Below are 22,147 nucleotides of genomic sequence, written 5' to 3' on the forward strand. Positions count from 1 at the left end.
AACTTGCCCAAGGTCACAGAGTTGTGTCTTTCTGACTCGAAAGCCTATATATGAAGTTTTAAACTATGTATCAGTGGTTCTCAAACTTCAGTATGCATAAAGATTACCACAAAAGTGTGTTAAAATGTAGATTCCTGAGTCCTACTCCCAAAGATTCTGATTGAGTAGTTCTGGGATAAAGCCCATGAACTTGGATTTCTAACAATCCCCCTCAGGTAATACAGATACTGGTGGTCCATCAACCACACACTGAGTAGCAATGTACAATTCTCTCCCCTAGGCTACACTACTTTGCTTTTTAAGCTTTATGACAAATACTGTAGTCAGTACTTTTAAAAAAATCACTGTGTTTTTGTAGGAAATAGACATGCTCATTATAAAGAAGTATAAGCAATGCATACAAATACAAAGAAAAAAATCAATCACCCTGTTCACATCATTCTATACTCTCTGCTTGATCTCTATTAGGCTATGCCAACAAGGTGTGCTAGAGGGAGACTGGAAGGCTGGAGGACAAAAATGAATATGATGCTTCTGTTCTTCTCCATGGCAACCCTGGCCTGATGTCTACTATCCTGCATTGGCAGTTTGTTTCAGTCATAGCAGTTGCGGTAAATCTAGTTTGTAGTATTTCCAACACTTGCAGAAACAGACTTCTGCACTCCTCAGAGACACCTGCACCAGGTGTCTGGGTCCCAGGCCTACAGGGCTGCTCTTCCAAGCCCAGAGGTATTAATACCAGCTTAAACAGTATTCCTTTCTCAGAGATCTGAGTTTATACTCCACAGGGCCCCTCCTCTGAGTTTGTACAATTTAATAATTTCAGCCACAATCCTTTGTTCCACAGCCTTAGGAATGGCAGCTAGTTCTCACAGTTGCTATCTCTGTGAAAACTTTAGCATCTTATTTTTGCTACTTAAATCTCTGTTAGCAATACTTTATATTATTTGTTAAAAATAACTGGTGTGGTTTCTGTTTCCTGACCAAATCCTAGTTGATTTACATTTCAAGTCCCATCAGCCAGAAACTATCATTACTATTAACATCAATAAAGCTGTTAAAGCTTGTTAATTTAAAAAAGAGAGGCCGGGCGCGGTGGCTCACGTCTGTAATCCCAGCACTTTGGGAGGCCGAGGCGGGCGGATCACGAGGTCAGGAGATCGAGACCATCCCGGCTAAAACGGTGAAACCCCGTCTCTACTAAAAATACAAAAAATTAGCCGGGCGTAGTGGCGGGCGCCTGTAGTCCCAGCTACTTGGGAGGCTGAGGCAGGAGAATGGCGTGAACCCGGGAGGCGGAGCTTGCAGTGAGCCGAGATCCCGCCACTGCACTCCAGCCTGGGCGACAGAGCGAGACTCCGTCTCAAAAAAAAAAAAAAAAAAAAAAAAAAAGAGAGAGGCCGGGCATGGTGGCTCATGCCTGTAATCCCAGCACTTTGGGAGGCCAAGGCAGGCAGATCACCTGAGGTCAGGAGTTTCAGACCAGCCTGGCCAACATGGTGAAACCCTGTCTCTACTAAAAGTACAAAAATTAGCCGGGCGTGGTGGTGGGTGCCTGTAATCCCAGCTACTCGGGAGGCTGAGACAGAAGAATCGCTTGAACCCGGGAGGTGGAGGTTGCAGTGAGCCGCCGAGATTGTGCCACTGCACTCCAGCCTGGGCGACAGATCAAAAAAAAGAAGTGGGGGAAAAGATTCTGTAAAGCAGTCTTGTTCCATCATCTTAACTTAGAAGTCTGTTGGATACAACATCCATGTTCTTTTCCTTCATCTTCATAAACCTATGAGGTAGGTGTGAAAGTAAAATAAACCTTAGAACCCCAAAATCACTAAGCCAAGGGAAAGGTCAAGCTGAGAACTACGTAGCTAGGCAAACCTGCCTCCCATTCTATTCCTAAATAAGATAGCAACAAAGATAAAAAAAAAAACTACATACCTCCCTCACGATTTGCTCACAAGGAAGAGTTCTGTTGAATTTCACCCTGCCAATGTAAACTGATAGCTTATCTTCAAAGATGTGGGACAGAAAGTCATCTCTGCTCATCTGAGACAAATGCATATCTGATCGGTTTCTCTGCCCTGTTGTTTATGTAAAAATGGAGATTCACTGAGCCAGACTAAATTATGTATTCAGTGAAAGGCTGATCAAGGATTCAAAAGAATGCAAACTTTTGTCTCTTATCTGCCTATGACCTGGACGCCTGCCTACCCCTCACCCCGCCGCTAGCCAATGTATCAATATTAGTTGATGTCTCACGTCTACCTAAAATGTATAAAAGCAAGCTGTATCCCCACCACCTTGGGCTCAGGAACCCCTGAGGCTATGTCATGGGTACATGCTTAACCTTGGCAAAATAAACTTTCTAAATTGATTGAAATCTGTCTCAGATACTTTTGAGTTCACAAAGCAAGTCATTCCCAATTTTTAAAAAGTTAAGAAAAATAAATGTAAAGCAGTCACACCATTGGTCAAAAGAAGCAATGAAATCTAAAACTAGGTTTTTGTTTTTAAAACTAGGTTTTTGTTTTAAGTGTATAGTCGGTGATTTTTATTCACCTGGTTATATAACCATCATTACCATCTAATTCCTGAACATTATCATCATCCCCAAAAGAAACCCTATCCCATCAACAGTCACTCCTCATTCCCCCACCCCCTGACAATTACTAATCTACTTTTTTTTTTTTTTTTTTGAGACAGAGTCTCGCTCTATCACCCAGGCAGGAGTGCAGTGGCACAATCTTGGCTCACTGCAACCTCCTCTGCCTCCCAGGTTGAGGTTCAAGCAATTTCCCTGCCTCAGCCTCCCGAGCAGCTGGGATTACAGGTGGCTGCCACCATGCTTGGTGAATTTTTTTATTTGTAGTAGAGACCTGGTTTCACCATGTTGGCCAGGCTGGTCTCGAACACCTGACCTCAAGTGATCTACCTGCTTCAACCTTAATCTACCTTCTATTTATAATATGCCTATTCCAGACATTTCACATAAATGGAATCATACAATATGTAGCTTTTTGTACATAGCTTCTTTCGTTTAGCATAACATTTTCAAGGTTCATCCATGTTGTAGTATGTATCAGTATTTCACTCCATTTTATGGCTGATTAACATTCCAATATATAAATATACCACATTTTGTTTATTCATTCACTAGCTGATGGACATTTCGGTTATTTCCACTTTTGGGGCTATTATGAATAATACTTCTATAAATATTCTTGTACAAGTTTTTTTTTTGTACAAGTTTTTGTATAAGCATGTTTTCAATCCTCTTGAGTATCTATCTAGAGGTGGAATCACTGGGTCACATAGCAATTTTATGTTTAACTCTGAGAAACTGCCAAACTGTTTTCCACAGTGGCTACATCATTTTATATTTTCATCTGCAAGGTATGAGGGTTACAATCCACATCCTCACCAACATTTTTCTGTTTTTGTTTTAATATAGCCTCCTAGTGAATGAATATAAAGTGATATCTCACTGTGGTTTTGATTTGCATTTCCATAATGACTAATGATGCCAAGCATCTTTTTATGTACTTATGGACCATATATATCTTTTCTTTGGAGAAATGTCTATTCAATCCTTTGGCCATTCATTTCTTAGGTTGTATTTTGTTGTGAATTACAAAAATTCTTTATATATTCTGGGTACTAAACTCTTAGCTACAAGATTTGCAAACATTTTCTTCCATCGTGCGGGTTGTCTATTTTTACTGACAGTATCCCTTGACACTCACAATTTTAAAATTTTGATGAAGTCCAATTTATCTATTTCTTCTTTGGTTAATTGAGTAAAACTAAGCTTATCTACCTCTAAGATACTAGTTGCCTCCCTAAAATCTGATCCATACACTAAGTCTTCCTCAGTGACTCACAGAAGGCAAAATTAGAAACTTCTGGTTCAAATTAAAAGAACTTCTATATTTTAATTTTAATTTGATGTTATAATCCCACTTGGGAAGATGGTAAATAAAGAATTGACAGTAAGAGCCAGTGCTCTCCTCAAGGTCATTTTTTTTCAAATTTGATGGTTTAAATAAACCTATTACCAATTTATAATTATTCAGTAGTCCGTATAAAATGATGATTGCAGATTAATAATTTGCATGCAGTTTTTCTATAACACCATATACCCACATATTGAACAGAGAAATGTGATATCCTTGAATCTGAATACCTTGAGATGGTGATGAGTCTGATATGGAAAAAGAATTAGCAATGGTCTTAGAAGTCAAATAATAAAGTGGTTATATAAACAAACGAAGGCGCCAAACCTCAAAGTCCTATCTTCCCTAACATGTCATGAGTATTTCATTTTAACAAAAGTATAAATAGAAAAAGGTAATTCTTAAAAATAAAACAATTATTAATAAATTAATCTCCAATCTCTAATCTAGGACATCTAAATTATTACTCATAAAATTCTTTTTTATTTTATAAGCGACTGGGTCTTGCTCTGTCACCCAGGCTGGAGTGCAGTGGCACCATCACAACTCACTGCAACCTTGAATTCCTGGGTTCAAGCAATCTTACTACTTCAGCCTCTCAAAGTGCTGAGATTACAGGCATAAACCACCACATCCAGCCCACAGCATTCTTAAGACTACTGAACAGACATAATATTACAATTAAAATGCTGTAATTTATAAATGGACAAAATATACTCTTAATGGTATCTATCATCTTGCTTACTTTTCAAGAATCAAATAATTGCTTATACTTACTATACAGCAAAATTCTGACGCTTGAAATCATTGAAATAACTTTTTCATTTTCAAGCAATCTGTGAGCAAAACCACCTAAAATTCTTTTTTGAACATTGAGTTTTATGGTATTAATTTTATATTTAAGAATCTAACATTTCCCTCTGTAAAACAAATCTTCACATTCCCACTGGTCTCCCACTTACCTCTTTGTGTTACTGAGGTCCATGGGGTTTAAGGTTGCTTAGAAAGGTAAAGCTTAGGAGAGTAGGTGGATGGTATTCACATGTGAAGATAACTATACAATAATACCTCTGATAATGAACTTCTTTCATGAACGAAGTCAGGCAAACTTTTAGCCAAAAAAACTCAGAAATCATGGGGAACAAAGTTGCAGATATTCATAAATATTATTCAATAAACAGCTTCTATTTGTCTTTTCCAACAAAACGGTGAAACCTCAGAGTTTTCTGCTTAAAAAATTTTTTTTTGTTCATTGTTTTCTTTCTGTAAGAAGAAAACCATTTCTGTTCTCTTCACACCCACTCCTAAACAAAATAAGAATCTGCTGTAGGTTATGTACATTTATTGATTGATTAAATATACCTAAAAGAGAATGTTGATCACATTACTTACACAGAATGTGTATTTTAGACCTGTTTCTGATGTTAATAGCAAACAGATAACTTAGAAGGCAGAAGACAATGTTCTAAGTGGTTCATACATATTAACCAATTTAATCCTTCCAACAACTCCATGAGATAAGTACCATTATTATTCTCACTTTGCAGCTGAGGAAACTGATGCAGAGATGTTAAGTAACTTGCCAAGGACCATACAGCTAATAAATGGCAGAGCTGGGATAAAAACCTTGGCAGTCAGGCTCACAGTTACAATGCTGTACTGTTTCTCATTATTGCAGTTAGCACATCTACAGAGATTAGGGATAAAAAAGCAGATCTGAAATCATTCTTGACCATACTTTAAGGCTAATTTTGATGTTAAAGATGACTTAGACCTATCGGGTTGCCTAAAACAAGAATGTCAGAAGACAGAACTGTATCATCTTCCCAGGAGGTAACTTCTCTACACACCTGGGAAAAGCAAACCAGGAAGACTAATGACTTGAAGTTACTGAAACCTCTTCATTAATGTTCATCAAATTGGATTTCAGAAACATTTGTTGAGCTTGTGGAAGTATAAAATAAATAAAAGTAATAATTCCTCCCTGTAAGGATCTTATAACCTATAGGAAACAATATTTTTCTTTTGAAACTCTTAAGTTTAATGTGATAAACACTATGATAGAGATAAGCACAGGATACTGAGAGAACATAAGGAACTCCCACCTAATCTTGGCTGAGTGGGGAGCTCAGGAAAACATCCTGGGAGATTTCAACTGAACTGAAACTTTGAGGATGAGTATCACCCAAAGGTGGGAGAAAAAGAGGGCATGTTTAGCAGAAGGGATAGAATATGCAAAGGAAGTTTTAAAGGCAGGAGAGACCAGGACAACATTTAGAGAGGAAGTGTGAATACTGCAGAACTGGAGCATAAGAAATAGGGAAAGCACTTCATGGAGTGTGAAGAATAGAGGACTAAGTGGTAGACCTGGGCCAAATAAAAAAGAGCCAACATAAGAAAGTTTGATTTTTACTCTAAAGGTAATAGGAAACCACTGAATAATTTTACAAAAGAGAGAAACGTGACTCAGTTGTGTTTGGGGACCACTATGGCAATGCAGCATAGTAGCTAAGATCTTGGGCCCTAGATTTTGAGTTCCGGCTTTGCTGCTTCCTCACTGGGTAAACTTATATATGTTACTTAAGCACATACTACTTAACCTCTCTGAACATCAATTCCTCGACTGTAAACCAACAATAATATCTAATTCACATATTTACTGAGAGGATTAAGCAGGAAGATCCATTTAAAACACTCAGCAAAGTACTTGGTAAGCTATTCATCACTATCAGTAGCAATGTGGAAATGGATTAAGAGGGACTAAGGGGGAGGCCATGAAACCAATAGAGGGTTACTGAAATAATCAAAGGGATAAGCAAAACCTAAAATAAAGCAGCAGCTATGGAAAGGTCAAGAAGTCAATGGGTTCAAAACATTAAGGAGAGGCCGGGCGCAGTGGCTCATGCCTACAATCCCAGCACTTTGGGAGGCTGAGGTGGGCGGATCACCTGAGGTCAGGAGTTTGAGACCAGCCTGGCCAACATGATGAAATCAGCCCTCTACTAAACATACAAAAATTAGCCGGGCGTGGTGGCACGTGCCTATAATCCCAGCTACTCTGGAGGCTGAGGCAGGAGAATCGCTTGAACCTGGGAGGCAGAGGTTGCAGTGAACCAAGATCATGCCACTGCACTCCAGCCTGGGAGACAGAGCAAGGCTCCATCTCAAAAAAAAAAAAAAAAAAATTAAGGAGACAGAAATTCTAGGACTTTGGGACAGTGTTGCGTGGGAGTAGGGGATGGATAAAGATGGCCATGTTCCCCAAGAGAGGGAATATGGTAGAAAAAGAATCATGGACATCTCATGGATAGAAACATTTTATTCCACACATTAAAAACAAAATTCATTTATCTACCCCTCATTAGTCCATTCTTCCTTCATTAGCTGTAACACCACTCTCTCACGGTTTTTCTCCTACCTCTCTGACTACTCCTTCACATTCTGCTTTTCAGCGTCTTTTTCCCCCCTTGTCTCCCAAATGTTAGTGTTTCCAAAGTTGGTGTTTTCAATGCTTTTCTCTTTTTACTTCTCACTCTCTCTTGCATGAGCTCATACACTCCCAAGGCATTAATTAGTATTTATCTGTTTACTGATGACTTCCAGAGCTCTACTTCTGGGTGAACTCAACCCAGTTCCAAACCATATACATCCACTGTATACACTGGAATATCCCAGGAGGATACTCATTCAATGTGTCTAAAACCAAACTCACTTTCCTGATAATCTGCCTAGCTCTTACATGGACCAATTTTAAAAACAAAAACAAAAAATCCTTTCCTTCAGACTTTCTCTCACAGGCTCTTCCCCAACCCCCAATTTGTGACTGCATAAATTATGCTCCTTCTCCAATCTTAATCCAAATCCTCTATATTCATCCCATCGAGACAGTCTATATTTTCTTGTAAAGTCCATTTTTAGTAACTTTTATGACATTTCTGTACTACTCCATTCTAAAATACATCCTTATCCCTTCTATGTTATTTCTAACTCTGGTTAAAAGCACTGAAATAAATGCCCTTGACTTCCTTCTTCATCTCTAAATTTCTTTCTTTCTCCATTCTCTTTTTCTCCAAGACTAAACTTCCATGTGTATACCTGATGCTAACCTTGTTCCCTTAGCTGCAAAGACCTGATTTATGACAATAGAAACCTTGTCTGTCTCATCTCCAGCTACTGGAATGATTGTATAGCACATGGTCTATATTTTTTAAACATGTATTGAATGCTGTATTAATTAATGAATTATCCTCTTTCTGGTGCCTTTCCAGTTTTTCCCCTGTCCTTCTACAATGGGTTCTTCTGTAAATCTACAAATACGTTTAAGTCTTTTTCCAATGAAAAAAAAAAAAGACTCATATTTTCTCTTGACTATCTTTTTAAGATATTTGCTATGTCTTTCTGTCTACCATCAAGCTTCTTTTAAGTTTTAAGCCACATCTTCATCATTTAATCTTTTACCACATTTTTTTGTTTGTTTTTGTTTTCTTTTGTTTTGAGACAGGGTCTTGCTCTGTCACCTAGGCTGGAGTGTCTTGGTGTGAACATGGCCCATTGCAGCCTCGACCTCCTGGGCTCAAGGGATCCTCCTACCTCAGCCTCCTGAGTAGCTGGGACTACGGGTGCACACCACCACTAATTTTTAAACTTTGTAGAGATGGGTTCTCCATATGTTGCCCAGGCTGGTGTCAAACTCCTGCGCTGAAGTGATGCTCTTGCCTGAGCCTCCCAAAGTGCTGGGATTACAGGCATAAGCCACCACACCTGGTCCCACGTTAATGTTCAACACTTTGAAATGTGGTTTCCTCCTAAAAACTGCCTTCTCAAAATCACAAGAGACCTCCTAGACCCTTTCTCACATTTTTATCTCCTCTGATGCTTTCTGTACATCACTTAAGACAAAAGAACACTCACTACTTCTTAGAATTCTTCTCCTTCCTTGATTCCCCAAAAGATGTGTTCCTTTATTTCCTATAAATAATCACAGCCCTTATCATGCTATTTGTAGCTATTTATTTGTCACTGTCCTGTACTAGACTTAACAATTTCTTGAAGACAGGTGTCATACCTTTTTTTTTTTTTTTTTTTGGTGGGGGCAGATAGGGTCTCACTCCAATTGCCCAGGCGGGAGTGGAATGGTGCGATCTCAGCTCACTGCAGCCTCAACCTCCCTGGGCTCAGGTGATTCTCCCACCTCAGCCTCCCACGTAGCTAAGACCACAGGCACATGCCACCACGCCCAGCTAATTTTTCGTACTTTTAGTAGAGACAGGTTGTCGTCCAGGCTGTTCTTAAACTCCTGGAGTCAAGTAATCCACCTGCCTCAGCCTTCCAAGGTGCTGGGATTACAAGCGTGAGCCACTGCGCCCAGCCAGGTGTCATATCTTAATTAGTGCATTCCCACTATATGGCACTGTGATTGCTCTATAAATATTTGTTGAATAAATGAATGAATATTGCCATCAGATCAATGCCTAAAAGAGTTCTAGGAATACTGGAGAATGGGAGTATTGGTTAAAATAACGATGGCAGTTGACATTCTAAGGGAAAAGGGCAAGTAAAAGTAGTATGAGGGGAAATGGACTATCAGAAAGCAGCATAATTCATGTATTCACTCATTCATTCATTTGACATTTACTATGGGCAAGGCAAATAAGATAATCAAGACATAGTACCTGTCCTCATAGATCTGTCTTATAATCAAAAGGTGAAGGTTTGGGGGTGGAGTGTTAAGAACTGGTAGAAAATAGGAGTAAGATACTGTGTCACTAAAGAGTAATTCTAAATCTATTGTTAAAATATAAGGACAGTTTGGAAGACCACAGCCAGCTGCTTCTGGTCTACTCACACCTTTATAATCTAGGTCTATTAGTGGCATTTCTCAAACTTCAGTATGCATAAGGAGCACCTGGGGATCTTGTTAAAGATGCAGAAGTCCCAACTCTGTGGATCCCAGAAGTCCTGATTCCGTAGATCCACGAATCTATATTTTAATAAGCATCACAAGTGATTATGATGCTTTTGGTCTGCAGAGCATGCTACTGTAAAGTCCTCAGTCATTCATGTTTTAGTTTTGCCATATCTGAGTTCTACCTATAATATTACTTTCTTAATAATTCATGTAATTGCTATATGTGTGTTAATAATTCATTTAAATTGCTATATGTGTGTATTTATACACATATGTATCTTAGCCTTATCCTAAGCAAGGTATTTGGTGACTCTTTTAATACATATAAAATAAATACACAACCATTAAAAAGGTCTGTCTCTATCACATCAGCAGATGGGAAACAGTTTGAAAAGCACTGCTCCAGAGTTTATGCCCTGCAAACACCACATCCTGCATGCAGTCTGATGATATAAATTACATTAAATAACAAAAAGCTCCAGGGCAATGAAGTTCAGCAGAATGGTGCTTCAGAAGAGCTAATCATAAAATATTCCAAAAAATTTTTTAATGAATGTTCTAATTATTACAAAATGACATTAAGAAAATTCTCCCCATAACATAAAAATACTGACTTTTTATTTTAAAAAGTGTTTTGTCTTTTATTCTGGTACTTAACTCTCAGAATATTCTTGAGCTGACACCGGAGCCAACCCCAATAGCTACGCCATAGAACTTAACAGCAGTTGGAACAAAATGAAGATATATCTGTGTTCTTGACCCACAATAAAACACTCATCCATTTTATTTAGAATTAAATTTGATTAGGACTGATAATTCAGTTCAAAGGTATAAACTTGATAGCTCTTTCTTTTCCTTTAACCCCAAAACAATTTATAATAGTAGGCAAAATTATACAGCACAAATATCAGGGGAATAATTGTATCTCAGGAAGGTCTATTCCTTAAAGGCTTTGGCAACTCACAACCACAAACAGAAAAAGACAATTAAAATATTTCACCAAATTAAAGGTTGTGCTGATATTAAGCCTTTAAAAACAATATTCTCTAAATTATGTTTTCTCTTAAATGGCTAAGAAAATCATTTTCTACCAAAATACTCTTGAGTGGATGTCTTTTGGATTGTGTGTCACAAGCTAGTTCTATACATGTTTAATTTCTAGTCACATTGAACAAAAACAAAAATGAATGACTGTGGTCCTTCATCTCTACATCACTTAAGTCAGCCGGAAATTTACCTTCCTACTTACTGATTTATAAAGCATTTTACCCTGTTTACCCTGTTTGGATGACTATTGCAATCACCTCCCTACTAGTCTCCCCTGCTTCAGCCTTTTCTCTACAGTCTATTCTCCGCACAGCAGCTTAAGATGCCCTGTTTAAAATGTCAGATCACTCACTCTTATGCTCAAAACTCTGCAGACCTTTTCTCAGAGTAAAAGCCAAAGTCTTTTAAATGGCACACCAGGCCCTCTAATACACAATCATCCTATAGCCGGCAGCATTAAGACTACTGAACGACTGTAATTTTACTATTAAAATGCTATAATTTAAAAATGTACTCTTAATGATATCTATCACCTTTGCTCACTTTTCAAGAATCAAATAATTCTTGATCCTACTCCTTAGCCCCTGTCACAGGACTCTTTCCTTGCTCACTTTGCTGCAGTTACAATAGCTTCTTTGCTGTTGATTGCACACACTGGGCATATTCCAGACACAGGGGCTTTGCATTTGCTGTTGCTTTTCAGAGACTGCTCTTCCCACGTGAATTCATATGGCCCTGGCTCTATCATTTCCTTTAGGTCTTTGCTCAAACATTATCTACCAGGTGAGCCCTTTCATGATCACCTTACATACAATCCATACTTCCCATCCCCACACATATTTCCTCTCCTCTATTCCTGTTTTGTTGTCCACCATACCACCTACGATTTGACATTCTGTATCTACTGTTTATCATTTGTTTATCCCACAAGAGGGTGAACTCCTACTGGATGAAGATTGTCTATCTGCTTTGTTCACTGCTGTATCCCAGTAACAAGAACAGTGTCTAGCACATAGTAGATGTTCAATAAATATTTGCTTAATGAACAGTGAGTACTACTCCAACTCTAGAACTTTCAGTCTTAACCTTATTAAGAGCTAAAAGGCATCCCCCAATTTCCGGGTGGCATTTGACTTTTGTGAACTTATATGCAGTATCTTTTGTTTGACACATGGTTCCCTCTGATTTTTCTTAGATGATAGTAACACGAAAGGAAAATTCCTAACCAGTGCGCAAGAAAGAAGAAAATCAACCATGCATAACACTGATTTTAGATAATATCTTATCCATAAACCAACAGAGAAAATGCCTTCTGAATTTGTAGCTTCTCCTCTTAAACCTACGGAAAATAAACTGAATATTTGTTGCCTTTGCCGGGGTGGGGGGGCGAGAAGGGGGCCAGGAGAGACGTGAAAGCCCAGGAGCCCTTCTTCAACAGCATCAACTCTTGTGTACTCCAACTTACTTTTTTTGAGGGGGTGGGCACCGTTCGAGGTCTCTGCCAGGGGGTGTCTGTTTTTCACCCTTTGAGGTGCCTATTGTGCTGTCTTGAGAACGAGGAGAGGTGGGTGAGGAGGGGGTAAGAAAGGATGCTGCTTGCGGCTCCAACTGCCTCCGAACACAAAGTCGGGAGGCGAGGGATCCGCGCGGATGTCTCGGGGGCCAGCGGGCGCCCGGGCCGCGCGCTCGGATCGCAGCCTCGGCCCCGGGGTGCCGGCGGGACGCGGGCTGCGCGGACTTAGGCCCGGACAGAGCCCCATGGCCTCCCGGCGGCCGGGCACGGGGCCCCGCGCACCTCACTCACCCCGGTTCCCCCAATCCGGCACCCTTCTCGGTTACCTCGAACTCTCTTCAGCGAAATGGGATCCTTCTCCTGTTCTGCTGACATTACAGACCGCAAAGCATGACTCCCCCCCAGGCCGCGGGAATTCGGTCTCTTTGATGCTGCGGCGGCGGCTCCTCCTCCTCGCGGGGCCGCTGCGGCTGCGAGGCAAGCCTCGGAGCCGAGGCACGGCCGAGGGCGGTGGGGACGCGGGCCGACTTTGCAAAGTTTGGGAGGAGGACGAGGCCTCGGGGCGGCGGGGCGGCGGGGCGGCGTGCGGGCACCGGCGGGGCTCAGCGGCGGTGGCCGGGAGCGCGGCCTGGGGGCGGCCCCCCACCCGGGGCCGGCATGTGCTGAGGGCGAGTGCGCCGCCGCCGCCGCCGCCTCCTCCCACTCCTTCTTCTTCGCCGCCGCCTCAGGAGCCGCTGACAGGGGAAGCAGGAGGCTCGCGGCCCGGCCCTGGCGGCACACTCACAGCGCCCTCTGAGGAGGAGGTCTGCTCTCTCGCCGCTCCCGAGTCGCAGACACAAAAGCCCCCAGACTGGAGCCGCCTGTAAAACCCGCTCTGGGGCGGGCGAGGGACGTGGCGCGGCCCCGCGGCTTCCCCGCCCTGAGCTCCCCAGCCCCGCGCGGGGACGGGCTTCGGGGGGCGGGGGCCGCTGCCTCGTCCCGCGGCGCCTCCCGCCACCGCCGCCGCCTCGCGCTCCGCCTCGGCCCAGCCCCCACGGCCCGCGCGCGCCTCTTGCTCCAAGCCGGGGCTCGCGGGCCCGCGGCTCTTGCAGCCCGGGTGGGCAGCGCGCGCCTAGGGGCCGCCCCGCCCCGCGCCCGGCGCTCCCTCGCCGACCGCCAGGCCCGAGAACGCCCGACCCCGCGGCCGACGCTACCGGGCCCAGCTTTCGCAAGGAAAGGGCATCTCCGAACTTCGTCGGAGGCCACAGCAGCAGGCGTCTCGGCCTCGCAGCTAGGGATCGGAAAGATGAACGTACCATGCGAGGAAACTTTGTAAGCGGGAGCTGGAGAGTTCTCGGCGGGCATGTGGGGATCCAGATTCCCCGACTCCGTGTCCGCGTGGCCGTGGTGTGGACACCTGTCTGTAGAATGCCTCCACTTGGTATTTTAACGACTTGACTCTTCAAGAAAGAGCGACGTAGAATAAATACCAGAAAGGACGGTGGGCGGGGGAGGGGGGAGCGTGGGTAGAAGCGGTGACGCGGCTGGATCTCATTTAGACGTTAAATTTTAGGAGGAACACCCCCAGTGTGATTGTAAATTAGATGTGATCACCGGTCCACATTCTTCAGTTGGGCTGTGTGACCGGAGGCGACTTAGGTAACCTCTCTGGGTCTCAGTTTTCTTGTCTATAAAAGGCAGTGGGGCTACATCTCGAAGGTCTCTTCTAGCTCCGACATTGTTTAACGCACTTCTACGAAATTGTTTTCCCTGGTTTTTGTTTTTTGTTTTTTGTTTTTGTTTTTGTTTTGCTAGGTTTTCTGGTTATCCACTGGGCTTATTTTGATGTAAGAATCACCGAAAAGCACTCATGAAGCGTGGGAGGACACAGAACTAGCTACAGACAGGAGTCTCGTCCTTCCGGAGACAGACACCCAACTCATTCAGCTGCACAGTGTCACAGAGAACAGATGTTAACATGAAGCCAATGTACAGCCTCAACAGCTGCATACCAGACAATCGCCACAGCGGCTGATCGTCGTTAAGACATAGCGTGGCCGGAGGCAAATGTTACCCTTTATCTAATAAGGGTGGTCTGGAATTATGGAATTCCTGATTAGAAGAGTCAGACTAGGACAGGCTAAGGAAAATATTCTTACAGGAAGCACTCTGAGGAGAAGGTTCCTCCTAACTAGAATGTAAGCGCCATGCAGGCAGGAATTTTGACTGGCTCACTGCTGTATCCTCTGGTACCTAATACTGAGTAACACATAGTAAGTGTTCGGGAAAATATTCATTGATGTATGAATAAAGAGATTTGAAGTGGCCCTGGGACGACTGGGGTGGCAGGGCTTTGGTAAGTGTAATAAAGCCGAAGCAAATGGTAATATAATAAAGCAGATTGGGGGCCGGGCGCGGTGGCTCACGCCTGTAATCCCGGCACTTTGGGAGGCCGAGGCAGGCGGATCATGAAGTCAGGAGATCAAGACCATCCTGGCTAACACGGTGAAACCCCGTCTCTACTAAAAATACAAAAAAAAAATTAGCCGGGTGTGGTGGCGGGCGCCTGCAGTCCCAGCTACTCGGGAGGCTGAGGCAGGAGAATGGCGTGAACCCGAGAGGCGGAGCTTGCAGTGAGCCGAGATCGCGCCACTGCACTCCAGTCTGGGTGACAGAGTGAGACTCTGTCTCAAAAAAAAAAAAAAAAAAAAATTAAAAATAAAGCAGATTGAATCTAATAATCTATGTTATAGGGTGGTTGGAGGAAAATTTGAAAGCACTTTGGTAAGTCAACAAAGAAATGAAGGCCAGCTGTGGTGGCTCACGCCTGTAAATCCCAACACTTTGGGAGGTTGAGGCGGGAGGATCACTTTAGCCCAGGAATTTGAGACCAGCCTGGGTAACAAAGCTAGACCCTTCTCTACAAAATAATTTTTAAAAATTAGCCAGGCGTGGTGGCACCGGCCTATAGTCCCAACTACTCAGGAAACTGAGGCAAGAAGATCCCTTAAGCCCAGGAGTTCAAGGTTGCAGTGAGCGATGATTACACCACTACACTTCATCCTGGTTAACAGAGCAAGCAAGACCCTGTCCCCCCTCCAGAAAAATATGGAAATGACATATTTTCATTTTATAACTCTTAGTGGAAGGAGAATGGTTCAGAAAAATCATTGCTAAGAGATTTTGAGTTCTTTATTGTAATTCCCTAAAGCTAGAGACTCAGAAATAGCATGAAAATCAAGAGAAATGAATTGGCTTCTTTTTAATGATTCATCAAGAATAAAAAGACCATCTTACTTGGGCATAGTCTTTTAAATCGATTTTACTTCCAAATCTTGATGGCTTCCTTGCACATAATCAGAATTACCTGGAGAGCATTCCAAAATTTCAGATTCCTAAGTCCCTCCCCAGATTTACTAGAGTCAGAATCCCTAGACGTCTGTTTTTAAAGGCTCTCTAGGTGATTCAAAAGCAATGAGCAGATTTGATGACTTGCATTTATCAGCCATTTGGTATAAAACATTGTCACCCAAAGATTGTATACAGAGATTGAGACAATGGTTCCTGTCCTTAAGAAGTTCACAGTTTAGGGCAGGAAGTAGAGGTTTAAGGTAACATGAACAATGCAAAATGCCAAGCACTGCAATAGACTTCCGTGTCAGCAGAGGACAGAAACCCTCCACTCAGCTTGGGAGGCAGGTAGCTGATGATGTTTTTAGGAGAGCCTTAAAAAGAACATATAGGAGGCCGGGCACAGTACCTCATGCCTGTAATCCCAGCACTTTGGGAGGCCGAGGTGAGTGAATCACGAGGTCAGGAGTTCAAGACCAGCCTGGCCAAGACGGTGAAACCCCGTCTCTACTAAAAACACACCAAAAAGCCAGGCATGGTGGTGGGTGCCTGTAATCCTAGCTACTCGGGAGGCTGAGGCAGAGAATTGCTTGAACCCAGGAGGCAGAGGTTGCAGTGAGCCAAGATTGTGCCACTGCATTCCAGCCTGGACGACAGAGAGAGACTCTGTCTCAAAAAAAAAAAAAAAAAAAAAAGAACATGTAGGAGTTGTTACCAGGGGTTGAGGATAAAGGTTAGGTAATGAGGAGTTACTGTTTAATGAGTACAGTATTTCAGTTTGGGATATTGAAAATTTTCTGGAGATGGATAGTGGTAATAGTTACACAACAATGTGAATGTAATTAATGCCACTAAATTGTATTTGATGGCTAAAATGGTAAATTTTATGTTATATGTATTTTACCATAAAATGGTTGAGGTGAGAACATGTAGAAAATAAAATGGATTGCAAGGGCAAATGGAGTCTTGTAATCAGAGGGAACAGAGTTTCCAAAGGACAAGAAGGGTGAAAACGTATGAATCTTTTGGAGACTGTAAGTAGTTAGGACTGGCTGGAGCATAAGGTACCTTTTGAGAAGTGGCAGGAGCTGATTTTGAGGAAGTAGACAAGAGGCCAGACCTCTGAAGGGCATTGCATGCCACACCAAGAATGTTTGATTTTATCCTGAAAGCAATGGAGAAACATTGATGAGTTTAAGCAGGTGAGTGACATGTTTAGGTCTGAATTTTAGAAAGATCATTCTGGCTACTAGGTGAAAGATGGATTAGAGAGGCACAGAACATTAGTATCTTAGTCTATTTGTGCTGCTATAACAGAGCACCACAGACTGGGTAATTTTTAAAGAACAGAAATGTATTCCTCACAGTTCTGGAGGGTAAGAACTCTTAAGATTAAGGTGCTGGCATCTGGTGAGAGCTGCTCTCTGCTTCCAAGATGGTGCTTTGAACACTATGTCCTCCGGAAGGAAGGAACACTGTGTCCTTACAAGGCAGAAGCTAGAAGGGCAAAAAAGAGCACATTCCCTTTATGAAGCCCCTTTAGAAGGGCACCTAATCCCATTCATGAGGGAGGAATCCGCATGGTCTAACCACCTCTTAAAAGCAACACATCCTGGCCAGGCGCGGTGGCTCACGCATGTAATCCCAGCACTTTGGGAGGCCGAGGCAGGCAAATCACGAGGTCAGGAGATCGAGACCATCCTGGCTACCATGGTGAAACCCCGTCTCTACTAAAAATACAAAAAATTAGCCAGGCGTGGTGGCAGGTGCCTCTAGTCCCAGCTACTCAGGAGGCTGAGGCAGGAGAATGGCGTGAACCCGGGAGGCAGAGCTTGCAGTGAGCCGAGATTGCGCAACTGCACTCCAGCCTGGGCGACAGAGCAAGACTCTGTCTCAAAAAGAAAAAAAAAACCAACACCTCCTAACACTATCATATTGTCAACACCTGAATTTTGGAGCAGATACATTCAAATCATACCAATTAGAAATTATAATGTAGCCAACAAGCATATGAAAAAAAGCTCAACATCACTGATCACTAGAGAAATGAAAATCAAAACCACAATGAGATACCGTCTCACACCAGTCAGAACAGCTATTATTAAAAAGTCAAATTTATACTCCCACCAGCGGTGTATAAGCATTCCTTTTTCTCTGCAACCCCAGAACTACCATTTGACCCAGCAATCTCTTTACTGGGTATATACCCAAAGGAAAATAAATCATTCTGTCATACAGACACATGCACACATATGTTCATTGCAGCACTGTTCACAATAGCAAAGACATGGAATCAACCTAAATGCCCATCAATGATAGACCAGATAAAGAAAATGTGGTACATATACACCATGGAATACTACGCAGCCATAAAAAGAACAAGACCATGTCCTTTGCAGGAACATAGATGGAGTGTAGGCCATTATCCTTAGCAAACTAACACAGGAACAGAAAACCAGACACCACATGTTCTCATTTATGAGTGGGAGCTAAATGATGAGAACACATAGATACATAGAGGGGAATAAGAGACACTGGGGCCTACCAGGTGGTGGAGGGTGGGAGGAGGGAGAGGATCAGAAATAATAACTGTTGGGTACTAGGCTTAATACCTGGCTGATGAAATAATCTGTACAACAAACCCCCATGACACAGGTTTACCTAAATAACAAAACTGCACATGTACCCCTGAACTTAAAAGTTAAAAAAATTAAAAAAGGAAATTATAGAGAAAATGAGGTAAGAGATGGATGAGGGCCTTCTACATTGAAGTGGGGTAGTGGAGAGGAAGCATAAGGAATGGTGGTAACAACTGACAACGTGGTAATTGTTTAGATGGGGAAGGTGAAGGACAAATCAGGAATTTGCTCCCAGACTTGTTTTAGGTGACACAGAATACAGGGAGACATTTGATGGTGGTAATAGTTGGTGAAGTGGGATGATGATGAGCTTAGTTTCGGACACCTGAGTCTGCGATGTCTCTCTTAAAAATACAAAAAATTAGCCGGGCGTGGTGGCGGGCACCTGTAGTCCCAGCTACTCAGGAGGCTGAGGCAGGAGGACAGCGTGAATCCTGTAGGCGGAGCTTGCAGTGAGCCAAGAACGCGCCACTGCACTCCAGCCTAGGCGACAGAGCAAGACTCAAAAAAAAAAAAAAAAAAAACAGGCAATGAACTGGATTTGGCCCACACATGGTAGTTTGCTGACCCCTGGGCTAGAACATGGGCTATATAAAGGACTCTGGAGCTCAGATGACAGGCCTAGGCTGCAGATACACATGAAGGAGACATTACCTAAGAATGGATAAACTCATCAAGGACCAAAGAAAAATAAGAGCCAAGAACAGAATGCAAGGAAATGATGACAGTTTAAAAGGTTAACAAAGATAGAGGAGGCTGTAAAGGAAATCATGAAAGAATGACAAAGAAAACAGGACTGTTAGGGCAATAAAGAAAAGGAAGAAACAGTATCACATGCTGCGGAAAGAAGTACTCATTTCTATCATCAGTCATCCTTGGCCTGGCATCTACTGAACTTTTTGGTTTTCTTATATTTTAAAGTATTGATTTTATAGTCTGCTTTTAATATTTTTCATCTCAAATTTTGCATGTTTTTATTGTGGATGGTTGCGTGATGCAATGTTTAAGCACTCAGCCTCTAATCTAAGTTGGTTTCGATTAACATGTACACTTTAAAAAAAAAAAGGAAAATATTTCTGTAAGTTCTATTTTAAAACATTTGCAATCACAGATTTGTATTACATTGAATGGAAATAAAAATCAAATCCAATCTAGATGTTTGGAAGTTTTGCAAATTGGTTTGAATCCTTTCATGTTGTAATTGAAGCTGCAGCCAGTTTAGCAAACTCTAGCCATCGGCCAATCATATCCAGGAGCCTTTCGTTGACAAATATAGTGCTATCAAAAGCTCAAAGTTGAGGGCAATAACAACAGCAAACTTTGGAAGATGGTTTGTATTAATCAGGATTCCATCAGGACACAAGGGGCACACAGTTTGAATGGAGAAAGTTTAATATAAAGGATTATTAACTATACCAAGGGATTGAAGTAGTAAGGGATTAGTATGAAGTGAAGTGAGGGACAGTATGAAGTAAAGAGAATGCTAAAGTATTTGAGAAAAACAGATATAAGGAGCAGGCACTATCCTTAAAACTAAGATAAAGCACCTAAAGAAGAGGTCCCCCTCCTCTCCAGGCTAAGATCCTGACCTTACCGGTGAGTGCACAGCTGCGGCTCACTGGATGCCAGAGAAGCTGCTGTGGTGCTACCTTCTGAGGGGAGTGCCAAAGGAAGATGCCCTGGGTGCTGCCGGCATTGCAGAGCCTGGCACTGATGTTGCCAGCACTGCAGGACCTGGAAGGAGGCTATGAATGCTGCAGAAACCCGTTCAGAGGAACAACCGAAACAGGAAGGAAAGCAAAAGCCCCTTACTCTTATAATGTCTCTCCAGCACCTTCTACTGACAAAGTTTAACATCATGCCAGCTGGCAAAGGCAAAATATTAATATTTAGAGTCCAGCTCCATTTTTGCAGAGCAGGCAAGGAAGGATAAATTTGGAGTTGAGAGGCAATAAATTTATTATTGACACAATGATGGTGTGTACTTTAGCCTAGCAAAGCTCTGTAAGGGACCTCATATCAATAAGCACCTTTGGTTCTGGAATATACTATGTCATAAAATGGTGCCTCCCAAATATTTGCTGTCATGCCCTAAATACATGTTTATTTTCTATATTATGAAATATGGGACAAAGTTTTACTTCAGAATACTTTTGATCTTATTCTCTTTAGCCTTTCTTTTTTTGAGACAGAGTTTCACTCTTGTTGCCCAGGTTGGAATGCAATGGCATGATCTTGGCTCACTGCAACCTCTGCCTCCCAGGTTCAATTGGTTCTCCTGCCTCAGCATCCCGAGTAGCTGGGATTACAGGTGCCCACCACCACACCCAGCTAATTTTTGTATTTTTAGTAGAGATGGGATTTCGCCATAATGGCCAGGCTGGTCTTGAACTCCTGACCTCATGTGATCCAACCAGCTTGGCCTGCTGGGATTACAAGCGTGAGCCACGGAGCCTGGCCCTCTTTAGCCTTTTATATCCCATCCATCATCAGATTCCACAAATTTTACCACCTATATATTCTCAGATGTGTCCATTCTTCTCTATCCCCACTACCACCATCCAAATCTAGCCAAAATCATTTATTTCTTTTCTGGACTTATGCAATAATCACCCAAGTTTTCTCCACATTTTTTGTCCTCTGTTCAATTCATTTTCCACTTAGTAGCCAGACTGCTGGGTTTTTTTTTAACTTTTTATTTTGAAATAATTATGGCTTCAAAGGAGGTTATAAAGAAATGCACAGGGAAGCCCTGTGCATCCTTCCCCCAGTTTACCCCAATTTTTTTTTTCTGGAGACAGAATCTTGCTCTGTCACCCAGACTGGAGTGCACTGGCATGATCTTGGCTCACTGCAACCTTCATCTCCTGAGTTCCAGCAATTCTCCTGCCTCAGCCTCCTGAGTAGCTGAGACTACAGGCACACACTGCCACGCCTGGGTAATTTTTCATATTTTAGTAAAGATGGGGTTTCACCGTGTTGCCCCAGCTGCTCTCAAACTCCTGAGCTCAGGGAATCCACCCACCTTGGCCTCCCAAAGTGCTAGGATTATAGGCGTGAGCCACTGCCCCCAGCGACCTGATTTTAACATCATACGAAACTATAGCACAGTATCAAAACCAAGAAATGCACATTGGTGCAATTCATAGAGCCTATTCAAATTTCACTAGTTTTACACGCACTTGTGTGTGTCTATGTAGCACACAATCAAGATACTTAACTGTATCAGCACCACAAGACTCTAATGACAAGACTACCTTGTTAGCCCTTTATAGCCACACTCATCCACTCCCCCATCCTTAATTCCTAGCAACCCCTAATCAATTCTGCATTTTTATAATTATTTTATCTCATGAATGTTACACAAATGAAATCAGGAATATGTATTTTTGAGATTGGCTTTTTTTACACACAATGCAATTTCCTTGAGTTTCATCATGGTTGTATGTGTCAAAATTTTATTCCTTTTTACTACTTCATAATATTCCATGTATGGAGGTATCACAGTTTAACACTTGTCTCGTTGAAGGACATTTGGGTAGTTTGTACTTTCTGGCTATTATAAACAGAGTTGTTATAAACATTTACATAGAAGTTCTTGTGTGAAAATAAGTCTGCATTTTTATTTTTCTTTCTTTCTCTCCGTTTCTTTCTTTCTTTCCCTTTCTTTCTTTCTTTCTTTGTCTTTCTTTCTTTTTTTTTTTGAGACAGGGCCTCCTTTTTGCTTAGGCCAGAGTGCAGTGGCACCCAGGCTGGACTG

General features: G+C 42.2%; 1 protein-coding gene and 1 long non-coding RNA gene across 5 annotated transcripts in view, besides 2 other annotated features; one reads left to right on the top strand and one right to left on the bottom strand.

The window, feature by feature from the left end:
* PYGO1 (pygopus family PHD finger 1) overlaps positions 1 to 13,881 on the bottom strand; it is a 50,088-nt gene extending 36,207 nt beyond the window's left edge. For 2 of the 4 annotated variants that reach the window (NM_001330326.2, NM_001367806.1), the window contains exon 1: positions 12,745 to 13,255. In NM_001330326.2, the coding sequence (NP_001317255.1) occupies positions 12,745 to 12,793 (49 nt within the window). In that variant the 5' untranslated portion in view covers positions 12,794 to 13,255. Of the gene's footprint in view, positions 1 to 12,370; positions 12,528 to 12,744; positions 13,256 to 13,713 lie in introns of those variants that run through there. The other 2 variants (NM_015617.3, XM_047432381.1) reach the window with 2 other exon arrangements.
* Positions 13,027 to 13,076: a silencer, noted in NCBI's record as "silent region_6455". NCBI's record gives its function as "represses an Ori minimal core promoter by ATAC-STARR-seq in GM12878 lymphoblastoid cells {active_cell/tissue: GM12878}" and the evidence as "EXISTENCE:reporter gene assay evidence [ECO:0000049][PMID:35858748]".
* Positions 13,157 to 13,276: a silencer, noted in NCBI's record as "silent region_6456". NCBI's record gives its function as "represses an Ori minimal core promoter by ATAC-STARR-seq in GM12878 lymphoblastoid cells {active_cell/tissue: GM12878}" and the evidence as "EXISTENCE:reporter gene assay evidence [ECO:0000049][PMID:35858748]".
* LOC124903497 (uncharacterized) lies at positions 13,460 to 16,707 on the top strand. Its single transcript, XR_007064647.1, has 2 exons — positions 13,460 to 13,729; positions 14,213 to 16,707. It is a non-coding gene; the product is annotated as an uncharacterized LOC124903497 (long non-coding RNA).
* Positions 16,708 to 22,147: the final 5,440 nt, after the last annotated feature.

The sequence above is a fragment of the Homo sapiens genome, chromosome 15, assembly GCF_000001405.40.
Source record: "Homo sapiens chromosome 15, GRCh38.p14 Primary Assembly".
In the NCBI taxonomy this organism is placed as follows: Eukaryota; Metazoa; Chordata; class Mammalia; order Primates; family Hominidae; genus Homo; species Homo sapiens.